The sequence below is a fragment of the Homo sapiens genome, chromosome 3 (genome assembly GCF_000001405.40).
Source record: "Homo sapiens chromosome 3, GRCh38.p14 Primary Assembly".
In the NCBI taxonomy this organism is placed as follows: Eukaryota; Metazoa; Chordata; class Mammalia; order Primates; family Hominidae; genus Homo; species Homo sapiens.
The window spans coordinates 153,781,512-153,800,318 of NC_000003.12; the positions used below are offsets into that span (position 1 = coordinate 153,781,512).

Sequence of the window (18,807 nt, forward strand, 5' to 3'; positions counted from 1 at the left end):
ACCTCTTCATAACAGAAAGCCATAGGTAATGCATAAAACTGAAAAAGAAAATCAAGAAATGGAAGTACGAGCATTTTCTGTAATGATGATAAATACCAGAAGAAATAACTAAAAGTAAAATAATTTTGCAAAGGGCATAACGATACCATTGCAATTCCCTGCCTGATCCATTCCCATCTCCAGTGTCTTCTTCCCAGAGGAAACTACTTTCACTCTTTTAGCTATTTCATTTGGTATTTACCACCATATTTCTAAAAGTAAAGATTAATTTTTTAAAGAAACAGACTGTAGTATATCTACCTATCATAGGCTCTATTTCATGGTAAGTAGCTGCTACTAGTTGCATGTTGTTGTTATTGTCGTTGTTAAATGAAGAAAACTAAGTTGTGTTATGAGCATTGGAATGCATCAGGAGACACACCATTAGAATGGTCAAATATTTCAAAGTGCTGCCTAAGGAGCCCTTGGCACTCATAGGCAGCAACGTGGACTTTTTTGTACTACATGTCCCTATGCAGACACAGAGATATAATTAACAGAAAGGGAAAAGGAAAGGGGAGTGAGAAAGTTGAAGAGTCTGAATGTTATTTCAACTTAATAAGATCAATAAACTAGAATTGTCCTCTTACAAGAGAAGAAATACCTTGGCACCCCACAGTATTTCAAATATGTCAGAGGATAATAGTTAATACCTACATAGAACTTACTATTGGTCAAGCATACTACTCAAGAAGAGGCATACATTATTTCCATCAATACTGATGACAACACTATGGGATAAATATACTGTTTTTTATTTCCCACTTTACAGATGAGGAAACTGAGGAGCAGATTAAGTAATTTGGCCAAGATTATGCAATTAGTAAATGAAGAGCCTGGTCTCAAACCCATATAACACAGCTCTGTGATCCTTGCTTTTTATCATTAATCCATGAAATGGGATCCATATAGAACCAAGCTCAGGTCTATGTCTTTTTCTGCTATTAGACTCTGGTAGGGGAAAGTTAGGCAGGGAAGGATAAACTGGAACTCTGTGTCAGAGGAGGTTTCTCTGTGTTGGTGATGCTGTCAGGTAGAGGGAGGAGGTAAGTAAAATGAGCTGATTGTTAGCAAATATGCATTTGAGGTTACTACTGTGCCCACAGCCTACCCTGGACCCACAGTTAACATATTAATGGTATATGCTGTATGTATATATACTCCTCCCATAAGCCTAAACACAGCCTCCCAGAATGGGAACCCTCTGTGGGATGAAGGGGAGAGAAAATGACATCAGTCAGGAGTAAGAAGTACACTTATTTTCTGCTCAAGAGTAGGAAAGGGTCTGCCAAGGGAGAGGGTGTTTTAGAGCCAACCATGGCCGTGCTAATGCACCCCACTCATGGAAAAGTTAGAGGAAGAGAAGGACAAATCACAGAACCCTAGATCAAAAGTGCTCTGAAGAAAAGATATTTCTTAACTCTCCCGAGCTTTAATTATGTTTAAAAAAGAAAAATTAAACAAATTTAAAAGAAATGAAAACATTATCAAGAATCTGATTATTAGGGACTGGAGAAGGGAAGACTTGCTGCAAATGGGTTCAGATATTATACATTATCAGTAAAACTGTTTCAAAGCTTGAGTGCATCCTAATCCCCACCTAAGGAGACTAGAACATGTTCTCAGATTTCCTGGAGAGTGACTTAAGAGCACATAATATATACCCTTTGGAATATAAGCAAGACCAGTTCGTAAAGTATCTCATTGCAGAGCAGCTTAAATTCCTGCTCCTTCCCAGCTGTGCTCAGACACTTGGCTGCCAGCAGAGAGAAAAGACAGAGCTCCCCAGAGACCCACAGAGTCAGTGTGCTTTGCTGCAGGGAGTTTAGCTTTCAAGGAAGAGATAACTATTAACCCTTTGCTTGGTGACTGTACACATCTACATGCAAAATGAATTATATTTCATACAAGAATTTGCTTTTCCTAGTTCCTGAATCTGATGTCGTCTAGGAACATTGATTCCCTTAGAGATATATGTGGGCCCTACTTTGGGAATTCTATGGGCCAGCCACAGTTACTTTTCCATTGTAAAGCCTGGGCTGGTAGGAGTGGGCTGTGAAGCCCATGTTACGCAGTATTAGAGGAGGCAGGGAGGCTCTACTTCTTGTTAACCACATCCCTCCACCCAAAGAGGAATCTTCCTTAACTTTTTGGGATGGCCTCTTGTTACTGATAGCTTTAGTGGCTTACTGCTTTTGTCTTCCAGAACCTATTTCTACCAATAATAACAAAAGAATAAGAGATTAAAACATCTTGCCGAGCCTCTGTAAACACACAGGTCTAAGGAACTTACTCCTAGGATGTGGGTGGTATCAAAGGAATAGCAAAGTGCTGCAGCATCTTAATATGACTGTTTTAAGCTGTGAGACATTTTTTAAAATTCCATCACTAAGTTATGCAACAATTTTAGCTGCTTTGAGTAATTAAGAGGGTGTTGTTCCTAAGAGTCCCCATGTGCCTGTAGTACAAACAGCTGTCCAACATCTGCCAAGAGTTAAGAACGAACACATTGAGGAAACTTGCTTTTGTTCATGAACAACAAACCTTTCATGACAGTCAGTTTACAAAAAACAATAAGCTTTTATTTTGTTGAAATTATGTTTTTGATTTCTGGCATTACAAAAGGAGTATTTAAAATGTAAATTGATTCACAGTGGTCCTGTTAACTGAGGCCAGCTGTGCAGATGAGGACTGGACATCATATGTTCTCATTTACTCTTCTTTCCTGAGTTTCCTCCATAGGCACCCTCCCAGCACACCTGCAAACACATTCTGCCATCTTCTCAATGTCATTAACGTGCAAACAAATGAAATGGATTCACAATTTATAGGTCCCTGGGGAAAAATGCTTTCAACATTTCATAGAATAAGAATTAAACTTTTAATCTACTAAAATGAAAAATGCACAAATCCTATGACCTAGCAAATTTCTTTCTTGATAGCTACTATTTCAGTCAGCATTTCACCACAGAAGCAGTTTTATTAGGAAGTATTAGGTTGGCGCAAAAGTAATTGTGGTTTTTGCCATTACTTTTAAAAACCCATAATTACTTGTATTAGGAATTTGACCTTATGCAATTGTGGGAGCTCACTGCACAGTCTATATGAGACTGTCGTGTTTGTGCCTGATGCTGGAAGGTACAGCTCACAGGGCAGTCAGGAAGGGAAGTCAGGAGGAAGGGAAGACAGAAAGTGATGTAGGGGAAGACAAAATGACCGACATTCTAGAACCTGGAGGCTGAGGCTAAAACAACAAGGAAGAATGGAAACCTGCATTAGTCTCTCAACACCACCAAACCTCTCACTTAGATGATTAGGCTGTTCTGCAGGAGAGGTTGGCATGTGTCATCATGAAGCTAACCATGCACCTTTCCCAGGAGTAAGAGAAACTGATGCCAGATGTTCAGCTGGAGTTGGCCTAGTTGTGGCCCAGCTCCTGCCCCATGCTGGTCATACAAGCCAGTAGATAAGCCTATTGTATGTGTGTGAGCTCCAACGATGAGGCCTGGTGCCTAGCTCTGCCTTGCCAAGCATAAAAGGGATTATGGCTCCTGCCAACTTCCACCTTCCCAATCTCGCACACAATGTCTCTCAGAGCCCACCCTGTATAGGAATTACGTAAGAAAGGGAATTCTGAGACGCATAATTCCAATTTAGTAAAGTTGAAATAGAAATCTGTCATACTACTTAGATAGAGACTCATATGCCCAAGGAGTAAGCACAGAATATGCAGGCTACATTCTGTTTATGAAAAATTAGAAATATTTTAAAGGTTTTTTAATACCTGAGCTATATCCACATAAGACATATTGCAATTCCAGCTAATGAGGTTGAGATATGTATTAACATGGCAGAAGTTATATGTATTGTATGTGAGCATGTTTTTAAAACATACAACATGAAATTGTATGAAACAGCTCTATAAGCACATTTGTTCATGTATTCAATATATGTTTACCATCTATTTTATGCTAGGTTCTCTTGTAAGCACAAGGAATACAGCAGTAAAACAAACAAAAAATTCTCTCTGCCTCCAGGGAGCTAATATTCTAGCTGAGGAGACAGACAATAAAAAAGTGAATAAGTAAAAAATATCATGGCTTAGGTGGCGATAAGTGCTATCAAGGCAAAGAAAGCTGGGAAAAGGAATAATGAACATTGGGGGTACTGCAATTTTAAAGGAGGAGGCCAGGGATGTCCTCACTAAGAAGATGATATTTAATTAAAGATTCAAAGGAGATGAGAGAGCCAGCCATGTGAATATCTGGAAAAATATGTTCTAGGCAGAGAAACTAGTAAGTACAAAAGCCTCGGGACAGGAATGGGCCTGGTGTGCAAGAGGAATAACAAAGAGATTCGTGTGGGGAGATGTAACCAAGGAGGAGCAGAATAAACTGGGGGTCAGGCCTAGCAGTGCCTTGCAGGCTGTAATGCATCCTTTGGGTTTTACTCAGAGAGAGATGGAAGCCTTTGGAGGGTTTCAAGTGGTGAATTTATTTATTAAAGCATGTCGTCCTGGCTGCTATGTTGAGACTACACCATAGAGAGACCAGAGTGAGGCACCAGTGAGTCAGCTACGACAATAATCAACATGAGAGATGGGGTGGCTTGGACTGGGGTGCTGTTGGAGATGAAGAAGTAGCTGGATTCTGAAGATATTTTAAAGGTAGAGCCAACAGGATTATCTAACATACTGGAAGTGGGCTGTATGAGAAAGAGAGGAGTCAAGGTGACTTTAAGCAGAGCTTTTTAGCCTGAGCAGCTGAGGTACAGGAAGTCATGGAAATCATAGATTTAGAAGAGATAATTTTAGACTGGTTCAAGTCTGAGACACCTATCTGACATTCTAATTGAGATGTCAAGTGGTCTTTTTGCAGCCAAAATCATATTCAACCCATATTAAAGATAGGCTTGACTCCTTGTAGCACTAATAATGTGTGGTGGACGATATTGCAGAATTAACTGGCTTACAGGTAACCCCCAGAAGTTCAGAAAGTATTTCTAAGGTACCAAATGTGTATTTGGAAATAAAGGATTAGCTGACCTTCATTTCGCAATCATCTTTTTTATTCTACCTACTGCCTTTTTAACCACAAACACAAACATTCAGGCAAAATGAGAAGGAATTTAGCTAATAAGCCACTTGAGTTAAATATTTTTTTCTCTTTAAAGATAATCAGTTGTTTGGCTAAAGCTTTTCAAACATTTAAATATGTAGATGCAGTTACTTTTCTGCCTGTTTTATTAGACTTATGTCAGAAAGAAAACGATCTACATGCCCTATGTCATCATTATCCTTTTGTTTCTCAGCAATCTTCCAGGTTTGTGAATATTAGCTTCCTGAAATAAATGTACTCAAATTCACTGTGAAGAATGAATGACTTCTAAGGTTTTGGTAATCTGGTCAGGTGAATCTAGTTTCATGGAAACAATGCAAGGCTATAAAACATCTTACCCTGAAGCACTTAAAATATGGATGCTGCGATATGAATGGATGGTGTGAATAGCAAAAACATTTTTTAAAATCACAAACTTATGTTATTTTTAATTTTCTACTGTCAACTTTTTAAAAACAATTCATAGGCAATTGTTTCCATTAATATGGAAGAATCATCTTGTCTTTCTTTTTTTTTAAGTTTCCCAGATATGAAGGACTGTGAGACTAAATAAATCATTATATATTCCACAAGCAATTCTCCTGCGACAGCCTTTCAAAAAAGAATTAGGAAGCCTGAATATTAAATGCCAGCAACCCATGACTAGGATAAGGTCAGTTTCAAGGATAAAGACATTTTTGAATTGAGCAGTTTGTCACACTTACGTAAAAACAATTTGAACAATAAGCCTTTGTTATTGTATGTCTAATTTATGAAGAAAGCCATTACCCTCAGTAACTTCACTTACAAAAAGGGAAAGTATACGCATCCTCTCTCTCCCCTTCTATCCTTCTATCTCTCTCTCTCTCTCTCTCTCTCTCTCACACACACACACACACACACACACACACACATATACACTGATCACAAAATTGAATGTCAGTGGCTTTTTTTTTTTTTTTTTTTTTTTGAGACAGAGTCTCGCTCTGTCGCCCAGGCTGGAGTGCAGTAGCGCAATCTCGGCTCACTACAAGCTCCGCCTCCTGGGTTCAAGAGATTCTCCTGCCTCAGCCTCCTGAATAGCTGGATTACAGGCATGTGCCACCACACCCAGCTATTTTTTGTATTTTTAATAGAGACAGGGTTTCACCATGTTGCTCAGGCTGGTCTCAAACTCCCGACCTTAGGTGATCCACCCGCCTCGGCCTCCAAAAGTGCTGGGATTACAGGTGTAAGCCACCGCGCCCAGCCTGTCAGTGGCTTTTAATTCAATTAAAATATACATCTTTACAGAGAATACAAGCAAGTCTAGCCTGTTGATAATGTTTGGAAGACTTTTCATGTGGAAACAATATCTATTTTTGCATCAGTATTGATTTTTCAAGTTTAAACTGTCATCATTAATGGCACTAGTCTTTATGTGAATATTATTAACTCACACTGAAGACTATATATTGAATCAGAAGCCAACCTAACTGCACAATACTTTTTTGTACTATTAAAACTACACATACATTTGGGAGTAATAAATTAACTATTTCTTTATTCACTGATTTCTATGAATTTATTAACAAAATTTCTAAAATATGAATAGCTCTACATGTGCACAGAACCGTCCTTACTGTTGGAGTCATATGAATATTTGCCGGATGTTGTTAGGTATGATAATGCATTTTAATTAAGTAGCAGTATACCCACATTTTTAAGGGTATATTGCATCACATGCACATTGGGGTATGCGTGATGTCTGACTAATTTAAAATGCCTCACAAAATGAAATCAATAAAGCAAAAATACAAAATCTTAATAATTAATAATTATGGGTGATGTGTTTATGGGAGTTGATTATATTATTCTCTATGTGTATGTTTGAAATTTTTTATACTAAAACATAAAATCAATCACTTCTGTCAGTCAGCTTCCTCTTTATAAACAGTAAAATTTCAAATGCAGAATTATGATTATTTCACACTGTGGTCTTTATATTAATAAGCCTGAAAATATGCTAAAAAAATGTAGGCAGACTATTTCCAAAGATAGAGTAGGAAAGCTAACATTGACGGAAAACATACTCTTTTCAGGCACTGTAGGCATGATAGCATTTAACCCACACAATAATCCTCTGTAATTTCCATATTGCAGATGGAAAAATTGAGACCTAGAAACAGGCTAAGTAACTTGCCAAATTCAAACAAAATAGTAAGGCTAGAGTTGGGATGCAACTCTAGAGCTAATTGCCTCTGAATATAGTTCTTTTATTTTTATTTTTTTTTTGAGATGGAGTCTCTCTCTGTTGCCCAGGCTGGAGTGCAGTGGCGCATCTTGGCTCATTTCAACTTCCGCCTCCCAGGTTCAAGCAATTCTCCTGCCTCAGCCTTTTGAGTAGCTGGGATTACAGGTGCCCACCACCATGCCCAGTTAATAGGGATGCGGTTTTACCATGTTGCCCAGTCTGGTCTCAAACTCCTGACCTTAGTGATCCGCCTGCCTCGGCCTCCCAAAGTGTGGGATTACAGGCATAAGCTACCGTGCCTGGCTCTAAATAGAGTTATGTCTTAACTAGACTGCTGGGTCTTTAGAATAAATTTCTGAAAAAAATTCTCCACCATTAATACTAATTAAAAGAACTAAATCACAGATCTGATCCTGTATCATTTCTGATCAAAGATTTTTAAATGTCCCCTTATTAGCTAAGATATAGCAAACAAAATTCCACAGAAGCTTGCCCATCCAACCTCAGTTCTCACAGACCCCTCCATAACCACTTACCTCCTGGCCATTGTGATCTGTGGTTCCTTTTCCACACGCAATTCCCTCTACTTCAAATGTCCTGCACCTCTGGCAAAAACAAACACCTCATCTTCCAAGAGCCAGTTCAAATGTCAATTTGAGTTTTCTGAACCTCCCTGGAAAGGTTACATGCTCCTACCCTAACACTGCCAAAAGCCCTGTGTGACAGTGGGTGGAGTACTTGTCACACAGAGCTAGAAGGACAACTCATATATTGTTCTTTTCTACTTGCCACAATTCGTGTGTGTGCGTGTGTGTGTGCATGTGTGTGTGTTTTAATCCCATGGTCTTTAAACCAAAGACTGAGGAGACAGTAGTCAGGCAAGAGGCAATGGAGGCCTTAAATATGTCAGGGCCAAAGCAATGAAAAGAAGAGACACCTGCAAGGGAGATTGGGGAAGTAGCCAGCAACAAAATTTGGCCCCTGCCTCTGGAGGGTGATGGGTTGTGTTCTGTCATTTCCCCCTGCCTCTCTGTGTTCATGTTCTCTCTTCCCTTTCCTGATTCCTTCTCCCTAGGTTTTAAATGTTCTTGAATATCTCAGGTAAAACAAACCAATCAAAAATCCAGAAACCTCTTTGAACTCCACAGCCATACACTAGATCACCTTTTACTCACATCCAATCATCCTACAAGAGTAGTCTTTTCTTTTTCTATTAATGTTCCACCCACTGCCATCTGGCTCCTGCCCCTGCCACTCTACTGACATGTTTACAAGTGGCCTCCTAGTGGCCTTCTAATTGCCAAATCTAAACAATAATTTTTAGCCTTCATCCTCCTACATCCACCTGTTGCATTTGACATTCTTAAACCCAGTCTTTTTGAAAATATCCCTTCCTTTGATTTCTGGTACCCTGCAGGTCTGGCCTTTCTCCTCTGCCATCATGTAGACTCCTTTTACTTTGACTATTTAAGTGTTCCCCAACATTTAAGGGTCCTTTCCTTGGGCCCAGTGTTCTCTTTTTACACGGTCTCTTTACATATCTACCATCGTAATCCAATCACCACCTAATGATACCCACATCTGTTTCTCTAGCTTCAGCCTCATACATTCAGCTGCCTGATATTTGAATGACCTGTAAACAGCACAGTCTTGCCATGCTCCAAACTAGATCAATAGAGTCACAATACAATGGCTGCCCTTATTCCACATTATTTATCCCTAGTGGTGACTATGCCATCCACGCAAGATAGAAATCTACAAGTCATCCTTGATGTCTTACTTAAAGTTACTTTCCACTTAAAATCTATCAAGACCTGCTAGTATCAATAGCTTGATGTATTTCACCCTCCCCTTCACTCTCATTTTCAGTAGTTTTCCGAGTTTTTCTGACTTAAAATTTTTTTTTTAATTTTAAGATCCGGGGTACCGGGGCAGGATGTGCAGGTTTGTTACATAGGTAAACATGTGCCATGGTGGTTTGCTCACCTGTCAACCCGCCACCTAGGTATTAAGCCCAGCATGCATTAGCTGTTTTTACTGATGCTCTTTCTTCCCCCCACCCCCTGGCAGGCCCCAGTGTGTGTTTTTCCCCTCCCTGTGTACATTCTCATTGTTCAGTACCCACTTACAAGTGAGAACACGAGGTGTTTGGTTTTCTGTTCCTGTGTTAGTTTGCTGAGGATAATGGCTTCCAGCTCCACCCATGTCCCCCCAAAGGACATGATCACACTCCTTTTTATGGCTGCATAGTATTCCGTGCTGTATATCTGACTTGAATTTTTAAACACTTCTCAAATATACTTCTTTCTCGCCAAACCTAGTAAAGGCTTCTTAAACTCTCTCTGCTTACCCCTGTTTCAGCCTAGGCTTCTAACTCCTCTCCCTATTTCTGTCATTCTCCCTTCAGAAAGGTCCATCAGCACACAGCCACCAGCACGATAAGTCTAAAACACATACCTGACCATGCCTAAAACTCTTCAATGACACTTCAGACTATAGGGGTGAATCATGGTTTGTTTGGTTTTTTTTAGGATGGTATATAAAGCTCTCAGTTATCTAGTTCAACTGCTTTTATAGTTTTTAAAATAAAGACCCACAATAAGAGAAATATCTTTGTTATGTTTCAGCATACACATACATTTAAATAAAACAACATATACCTTTACTATATATGATGTTGATTTCTAGTCTATTCTCTTTTTTTAAAAATTGGCAATCCATATTGATTTGAAAAGTGCTGGTCTAGCATCAGTTTACCTCTAAAGTCTCACCTTGCTATTATTACTTCCAACACATATAGGATACTCAAGCAATACCACACTGAATTAACAAATGAACAAATTAATGATACTTCAGAGATTTCATAAAGATGCTGTAATTGTGTTTTCTGAAAAACCTAACAAGTTGGAAAGTGGAAGAAATGATTAAGATTTGCCAGATAGACTATATAAATACAAAACTCACAAGCAAGCTGTGTCTGTTATCTTTAGCCATGTAACAAATCACTTCCAAAGTTTAGTGGCTAAAAACAACACAATTTCTTATTTCTCATGAATCTGTGAGTTAGCTGGTTGGCCCCTCTATGGTTTCACCTGAGCTCACTCACACAGCTGCATTCAGCTAAAACAAAAAAAGGGCCATGATGGCCTCTCTCAAATGCCTGGTGGTTGGTGTTGACTGTTGGCTGGGTGTCTCAGCTGTTCTGCATGTGGCCTCTCATTTTCCAGTAAGCTAGATGGGTCTCTTCCATGAAGTTTTAAGACAGCATCCAAGAGAGCAAAGGTGGAAGTGGCAAGGCCTTTTGAGGCCTTGGCTTTGAAGTACTCACAATGTCACTTTAGGCAAAGCAAATCACAAGACTAGCCAAGACTCAAAGAGTGGGAAATAGAATCTACCCCGGGTTTCTCAGTAATCAGCTTAACAGTCCTCCTGTTCTCATTGATTATCCCTCCTATATTCCACTGCCCTTCTTCTTTCCTTTGTCCTTTCTACTGTGGCATCTGTAATCTAAAAATGATGGGCAGGCAAGTTCTTGATATGAAGAGATACAGAAGAAGTAGAAAATAAGGAGGCATTTTAAAAACAAAACAAAAAAACAACCATCAATTGAAAGCTGGTTTAGCTAGGAATTTCTGATGTTGGATGTTGACACTCTTCATTTGAAGAATGTGTATCTGAGCTCAGATACTACAGACCCTTACAAATTGTGTTTGGTTTATACTCACCTGGAAAAGAGAATGGCCTTGAGCCCTGGGGCTAACACTGTCTTTGGAAGTACTGACTCCAGATTTCTCTCTTCTTATGAAGTCTCCCTCACTCAGACTTACCCTCTTGATATCCCATATGTTCACATGGATCTGTAATTGACCTCATTTCTTGTTTTATAGCCTGTCATAGGTTAATCTCCAATAAATACTGTACCACAAGTACAGCCAAGGAAAGTTTGTGCACAGCCTGATGAAGTGAACCTCTTACTCCACTCACCAATCAGCTACAATTTTTCCTACGGCTACGATAAAAGAACAGATTTAGCATAAAGCTCTTAAAACCAGGAACAGGGCAAAAGCAAAATGTCAATGCTTGTCAAGTACCTTCACAATGATCTTCAGGTTATTTAATACAGTCTGTTTTCATCAGTCTGTCCCAATTCCTAAAAATGCTAGAGTCTCTGTTACAGAACCATATCAGAGATGTTCAGCTGTGAATTCCTGATCCAATATTGATCTTCCCTTTAAATTAGTTCAACTGCCAACTAAATCAGTTGAAATGGTAAATTCTCAAAATATGTATTTCTTTTTTGTTTATGCAATGTATAAAGAGCAAATTTAAGAAATGAATCAGATAGGTTTTATTAATTTAGCTTTCATTTATTCAACAAATATTTTTCTATTATTTATTTTTGTTAAGTATTTGGTAAGCATCTACTCTGTGCCAGGCTCTGTTCTAGGTGATAAAGGAACAATAGTGTGCAAAACAAACTTCTTGCCTTCTTGGAGCTGACATCCTATGTGAAAGACAATGTGGAAGATATAAAAATCAATCAGTCATTTGGATTCTAGTCTTTAGGTACTTTCAGAGACTAGCTAGACAATGACAAATGCCGCAAGAGAAAAAAATATGTATATATACTGCAGGCCTTTGGAAGAATCTGTAATTGCTTCCAAGATGCAAAACCAGAAAAAAAGTTTGATATGGTTTAGATTTGTGTCCCCGCCCAAATTTCATGTCAAATTGTAATCCTCAGTGTTGGAGGAGGGGCCTGGTGGAAGGTGATTGAATTAAGAGATCGGATTTCCCCCTTGCTATTCTCGTGATAGTAAATTCTCATGAAATCTCGTTGTTTGAAAGTGTGTATCACCTCCCCCTTCTTTATCTCTTCCTCCTGCTCCTGCCATGTAAGATGTGCCTCCTTCCTTTTCACCTTCTGTAAGGATTGTAAGTTTCCTGAGGACTCCCCAGCCATGCTTCCTGTACAGCCTGCAGAGCTGTGAGTCAATTAAACCTCTTCTCTTTATAAATTACCCAGACTCAGACAGTTCTTTATAGCAGTGTGAGAATGAACTAATACAAGGTTCAAGCCCTTGAGCAGGACTTAAAGAATGGATGAAACTGACACCTGCAAATGAGATTAGAAGAGGCTCAGAGGACAAGAGAAGAGCATGAGCAAAGATACGCAAGCAGGGAGTTAAACTGATGATTCTATGTGGCTAGAGAGTTTGTTCCAAGAAGAGGAATTGTGGGAAAGACAGTAAAAAAGTAAGTTATGGCCCAGGACCAATTAAAACCTTCCAGGCTTTAAAAACTCAAACTGATCTAATTAAACTAAAGAGCTTCTGGACAGCAAAAGAAACTACCATCAGAGTGAACAGGCAACCTACAGAACGGGAGAAAATTTTTGCAATCTACTCATCTGACAAAGGGCTAATATCCAGAATCTACAACAAACTCAAACAAAGTTACAAGAAAAAAACAAACAACCCCATCAAAAAGTGGGCAAAGGATATGAACAGACACTTCTCAAAAGAAGACATTTATGCAGCCAACAGACATATGAAAAAATGCTCATCATCACTGGCTATCAGAGAAATGCAAATCAAAACCACAATGAGATACCATCTCACACCAGTTAGAATGGTGATCATTACAAAGTCAGGAAACAACAGGTGCTGGAGAGGATGTGGAGAATTAGGAACACTTTTACACTGTTGGTGGGACTGTAAACTAGTTCAACCATTGTGGAAGACAGTGTGGCAATTCCTCAAGTCTAGAACTAGAAATACCATTTGACCCAGCCATCCCATTACTGGGTATATACCCAAAAGATTATAAATCATGCTGCTATAAAGACACATGCACACATATGTTTATTGTGGCACTATTCACAATAGCAAAGACTTGGAATCAACCCAAATGTCCATCAATGATAGACTGGATAAAGAAAATGTGGCACATATACACCATGGAATACTATGCAGCCATAAAAAAGGATGAGTTCATGTCCTTTGTAGGGACATGGATGAAGCTGGAAACCATCATTCTCAGCAAACTATCGCAGGGACAAAAAACCAAACACTGCATGTTCTCACTCATAGGTGGAAACTGAACAATGAGAACACTTGGACACAGGAAGGGGAACATCACACACTGGGGCCTGTTGTGGGGTGGGAGGAGGGGGGAGGGATAGCATTAGGAGATATACCTAATGTAAATGATGAGTTAATGGGTGCAGCACACCAGAATGGCACATGTATACATATGTAACAAACCTGCACCTTGTGCACATTCACCCTAGAACTTAAAGTATAATAATAATAATAATAATAAAAAAAACTCAAACTGAAATGATTTCCCATCAACCATGAAATAGATCACTGAAAACAATATAAAGACAAAAGCTTTCAGTTTTCCCCCACAAAATTCTGATATTTCCCATGATGGCTTTAGTATTAGTCTGACTACATTTTTAATGTGTAACTGCAGACATGTTTTCAGTTTTCTTCCTCCTTCTTCCCCTCTGCCCCTCTTCTGGGCAAGCTGATAAGAAAGCCTAGTTGCTCTTTCCTGTGGCACCAACAAGGAGCTGCAACCATGAAGGATCCCTCACCTTGATCCTTCTCTTAATCACCTTTAAAACCCCAGGAAAGTCCTCGCTCCCTGCACTCTCAAATCATTTTGGACCTGCTTGAGAGGTTAGTAATAAATCTTTTCATACATTGTGTGTGTGGCTCCATCAGTCTTGACATCTGAAGCAAATTAAGAATGAGGTCCTATTCTGTATCTACAAAGTGGCTGCAATAACTATTTTAATCCTCTTTGTTAAAAGGTGATATTCCCTCAACACAATTCAGGGCCTCTGCTCTGTTCTGATTATTGAGACACCCAAGACCATTGGCAGCAACCTAAAGTCAGATAATAGAGGGTCCTACATGCAAAAGTCATTAGAATTTTAAAGTTTTCTCTGTAGCTAAAGGACCCTTGTTTCTCGCAGTTAAGTAAAATACTTGAAGATCATGTTTACCCTAAATACATAATAGATACTAACGGAAAGAATATTTTAGCAAGAATTGTTTCAATGACAGCAGATATTTCATAATATGCAAGTAAATTTGAGAAAAGTAGATATGTACTACAGTTATAAATGAGTAGTGTGAGAATTTGAGCAACTTTTCATTTATTTAGTAATTGTTTATCGAGGATTTACCACATGCAGTGCACTCTGCTTATCTCTGTAGGATGTAGAAATAGATTTATTTTCCTGTAGTTACTTTATATGCAGACCTAACACATGCATTCAAACAGGTGCAACTCAGGTGTTTAATTGGCCTCACCAAAATTGAAATGAATCTAAGAATGATGAAAATGAATTAATTGTCACTTAGCCCATAATGAGTCACTTATATTCAAGCCATTCATGGAGTATTAGGCTCTATTCTGTAATGCATTTCATGTACAAGTCATTCCTTGGCAAAAACAAATGGCACTGAAATTTCTAAAAGCTGATAATTCTGGATGATGAATAGCATTTTTCTAAACTACGAAATAAAATCTAATATGATGCTAGAAACATCACCCTCATAATTGAATATATTTGACAATCATATTCAGTATTTTATCATTGGTGGTATGTTACATCTTATTGAGGATTTCCTGGTTCTGTGAAATAAACCAACATCACCTTTTAAAATATAAAATATTTTAAATTCTTCTCTAATAATGCAATCTGAAAAATAAAGTTATTTTTCATTATTTGTAAACATACTGAGACATAAAGAAGAGACACAACTAATCTGGAAAAAGCAAGAGGAAAAATGCAGTAATTAATCAATATATCAAGTGTATCCACATATATGCTTTTACAGTTATTTAAGTAGATTTTCTCTCTGTGAATTCAAAGTTACTAAATCATCATCAAGAATAAAAATCATGAGCCAAGATGGCCGAATAGGAACAGCTCTGGTCTACAGCTCCCAGCATGAGCGACGCAGAAGACGGGTGATTTCTGCATTTCCATCTGAGGTACCGGGTTCATCTCACTAGGGAGTGCCAGACAGTGGGTGCAGGACAGTGCGTGCAGCGCACCATGCGTGAGCCAAAGCAGGGCGAGGCATTGCCTCACTTGGGAAGCGCAAGGGGTCAGGGAGTTCCCTTTCCTAGTCAAAGAACGGGGTGACAGACGGCACCTAGAAAATTGGGTCACTCCCACCCTAATACTGTGCTTTTCTGACGGGCTTAAAAAACGGCGCACCAGGAGATTATATCCTGCACATGGCTTGGATGGTCCTACACCCACGGAGTCTCGCTGATTGCTAGCACAGCAGTCTAAGATCAAACTGCAAGGCGGCAGCAAGGCTGGGGGAGGGGCGCCCGCCATCGCCCAGGCTTGCTTAGGTAAACAAAGCAGCCGGGAAGCTCGAACTGGGCGGGGCCCACCACAGCTCAAGGAGGCCTGCCTGCCTCTGTAGGCTCCACCTCTGGGGGCAGGGCACAGACAAACAAAAAGACAGCAGTAACCTCTGCAGACTTAAATGTCCCTGTCTGACAGCTTTGAAGAGAGCAGTGGTTCTCCCAGCACGCAGCTGGAGTTCTGAGAAAGGGCAGACTGCCTCCTCAAGTGGGTCCCTGACCCCTGACCCCCGAGCAGCCTAACTGGGAGGCACCCCCCAGTAGGGGTAGACTGCCACCTCACACGGCCAGGTACTCCTCTGAGACAAAACTTCCAGAGGAACGATCAGACAGCAGCATTCGCAGTTCACGAAAATCCGCTGTTCTGCAGCCACTGCTGCTGATACCCAGGCAAACACGGTCTGGAGTGGACCTCTAGCAAACTCCAACAGACCTGCAGCTGAGGGTCCTGTCTGTTAGAAGGAAAACTAACAAACAGAAAGGACATCCACACCAAACACCCATCTGTACATCATCAAAGACCAAAAGTAGATAAAACAATAAAGATGGGGAAAAAACAGAGCAGAAAAACTGGAAACTCTAAAAAGCAGAGCGCCTCTCCTCCTCCAAAGGAACGCAGCTCCTCACCAGCAACGGAACAAAGCTGGACTGAGAATGACCTTGATGAGTTGAGAGAAGAAGGCTTCAGACGATCAAATTACTCCGAGCTACAGGAGGAAATTCAAACCAAAGGCAAAGAAGTTAAAAACTTTGAAAAAAATTTAGACGAATGTATAACTAGAATAACCAATACAGAGAAGTGCTTAAAGGAGCTGATGGAGCTGAAAGCCAAGGCTCAAGAACTACGTGAAGAATGCAGAAGCCTCAGGAGTTGATGCAATCAACTGGAAGAAAGGGTATCAGTGATGGAAGATGAAATGAATGAAGTGAAGTGAGAAGGGAAGTTTAGAGAAAAAAGAATAAAAAGAAATGAACAAAGCCTCCAAGAAATATGGGACTATGTGAAAAGACCAAATCTACATCTGATTGGTGTACCTGAAAGTGATGGGGAGAATGGAACCAAGTTGGAAAACACTCTACAGGATATTATCCAGGAGAACTTCCCCAATCTAGCAAGGCAGGCCAACATTCAGATTCAGGAAATACAGAGGATGCCACAAAAATACTCCTCGAGAAGAGCAACTCCAAGACACATAATTGTCAGATTCACCAAAGTTGAAATGAAGGAAAAAATGTTAAGGGCAGCCAGAGAGAAAGGTCGGGTTACCCATAAAGGGAAGCCCATCAGATTAACAGCTGATCTTTCGGCAGAAACTCTACAAGCCAGAAGAGAGTGGGGGCCAATATTCAACATTCTTAAAGAAAAGAATTTTCAACCCAGAATTTCATATCCAGCCAAACTAAGCTTCATTAATGAAGGAGAAATAAAATACTTTACAGACAAGCAAATGCTGAGAGATTTTGTCACCACCAGGGCTGCCCTAAAAGAGCTCTTGAAGGAAGCACTAAACATGGAAAGGCACAACAAAGTACCAGCTGCTGCAAAATCATGTCAAAATGTAAAGACCATCGAGACTAGGAAGAAACTGCATCAACTAATGAGCAAAATAACCAGCTAACATCATAATGACAGGATCAAATTCACACATAACAATATTAACTTTAAATGTAAATGGACTAAATGCTCCAATTAAAAGACACAGACTGGCAAATTGGATAAAGAGTCAAGACCCATCAGTGTGCTGTATTCAGGAAACCCATCTCACGTGCAGAGACACACATAGGCTCAAAATAAAAGGATGGAGGAAGATCTACCAAGCATTTGGAAAACAAAAAAAGGCAGGGGTTGCAATCCTAGTCTCTGATAAAACAGACTTTAAACCAACAAAGATCAAAAGATACAAAGAAGGTCATTACATAATGGTAAAGGGATCAACTCAACAAGAAGAGATAACTATCCTAAATATATATGCACCCAATACAGGAGCACCCAGATTCATAAAGCAAGTCCTGAGTGACCTACAAAGAGACTTAGACTTCCACACAATAAAATTGGGAGACTTTAACACCACACTGTCAACATTAGACAGATCAACGAGACAGAAAGTTAACAAGGATACCCAGGGATTGAACTCAGCTCTGCACCAAGCGGACCTAATAGACATCTACAGAACTCTCCACCCCAAATCAACAGAGTATACATTTTTTTCAGCACCACACCACACCTATTCCAAAATTGACCAAATACTTGGAAGTAAAGCTTTCCTCAGCAAATGTAAAAGAACAGAAATTATAACAAACTATCTCTCAGACCACAGTGCAATCAAACTAGAACTCAGGATTAAGAAACTCACTCAAAACCACTCAACTACATGGAAACTGAACAACCTGCTCCTGAATGACTACTGGGTACATAATGAAATGAAGGCAGAAATAAAGATGTTCTTTGAAACCACCGAGAACAAAGACACAACATACCAGAATCTCTGGGACACATTCAAAGCAGTGTGTAGAGGGAAATTTATAGCACTAAATGCCCACAAGAGAAAGCAGGAAAGATCCAAAATTGACACCCTAACACCACAATTAAAAGAACTAGAAAAGCAAGAGCAAACACATTCAAAAGCTAGCAGAAGCCAAGAAATAACTAAAATCAGAGCAGAACTGAAGGAAATAGAGACACAAAAAACCCTTCAAAAAATTAATGAATCTAGGAGCCGGTTTTTTGAAAGGATCAACAAAATTGATAGACCGCTAGCAAGACTAATAAAGAAAAAAAGAGAGAAGAATCAAATAGACGCAATAAAAAATGATAAAGGGGATATCACCACCAATCCCACAGAAATACAAACTACCATCAGAGAATACTACAAACAACTCTATGCAAATAAACTAGAAAATCTAGAAGAAATGGATAAATTCCTCGACACATACACCCTCCCAAGACTAAACCAGGAAGAAGTTGAATCTCTGAATAGACCAATAACAGGCTCTGAAATTGTGGCAATAATCAATAGCTTACCAACCAAAAAGAGT

At 39.5% G+C, this 18,807-nt stretch overlaps 1 annotated feature.

The window, feature by feature from the left end:
- Positions 15,377-15,878: an enhancer, noted in NCBI's record as "H3K4me1 hESC enhancer chr3:153514677-153515178 (GRCh37/hg19 assembly coordinates)". NCBI's record gives its function as "activates a minimal SCP1, AML or CMV promoter by ChIP-STARR-seq in naive H9 embryonic stem cells {active_cell/tissue: H9 hESC(naive)}" and the evidence as "EXISTENCE:reporter gene assay evidence [ECO:0000049][PMID:30033119]".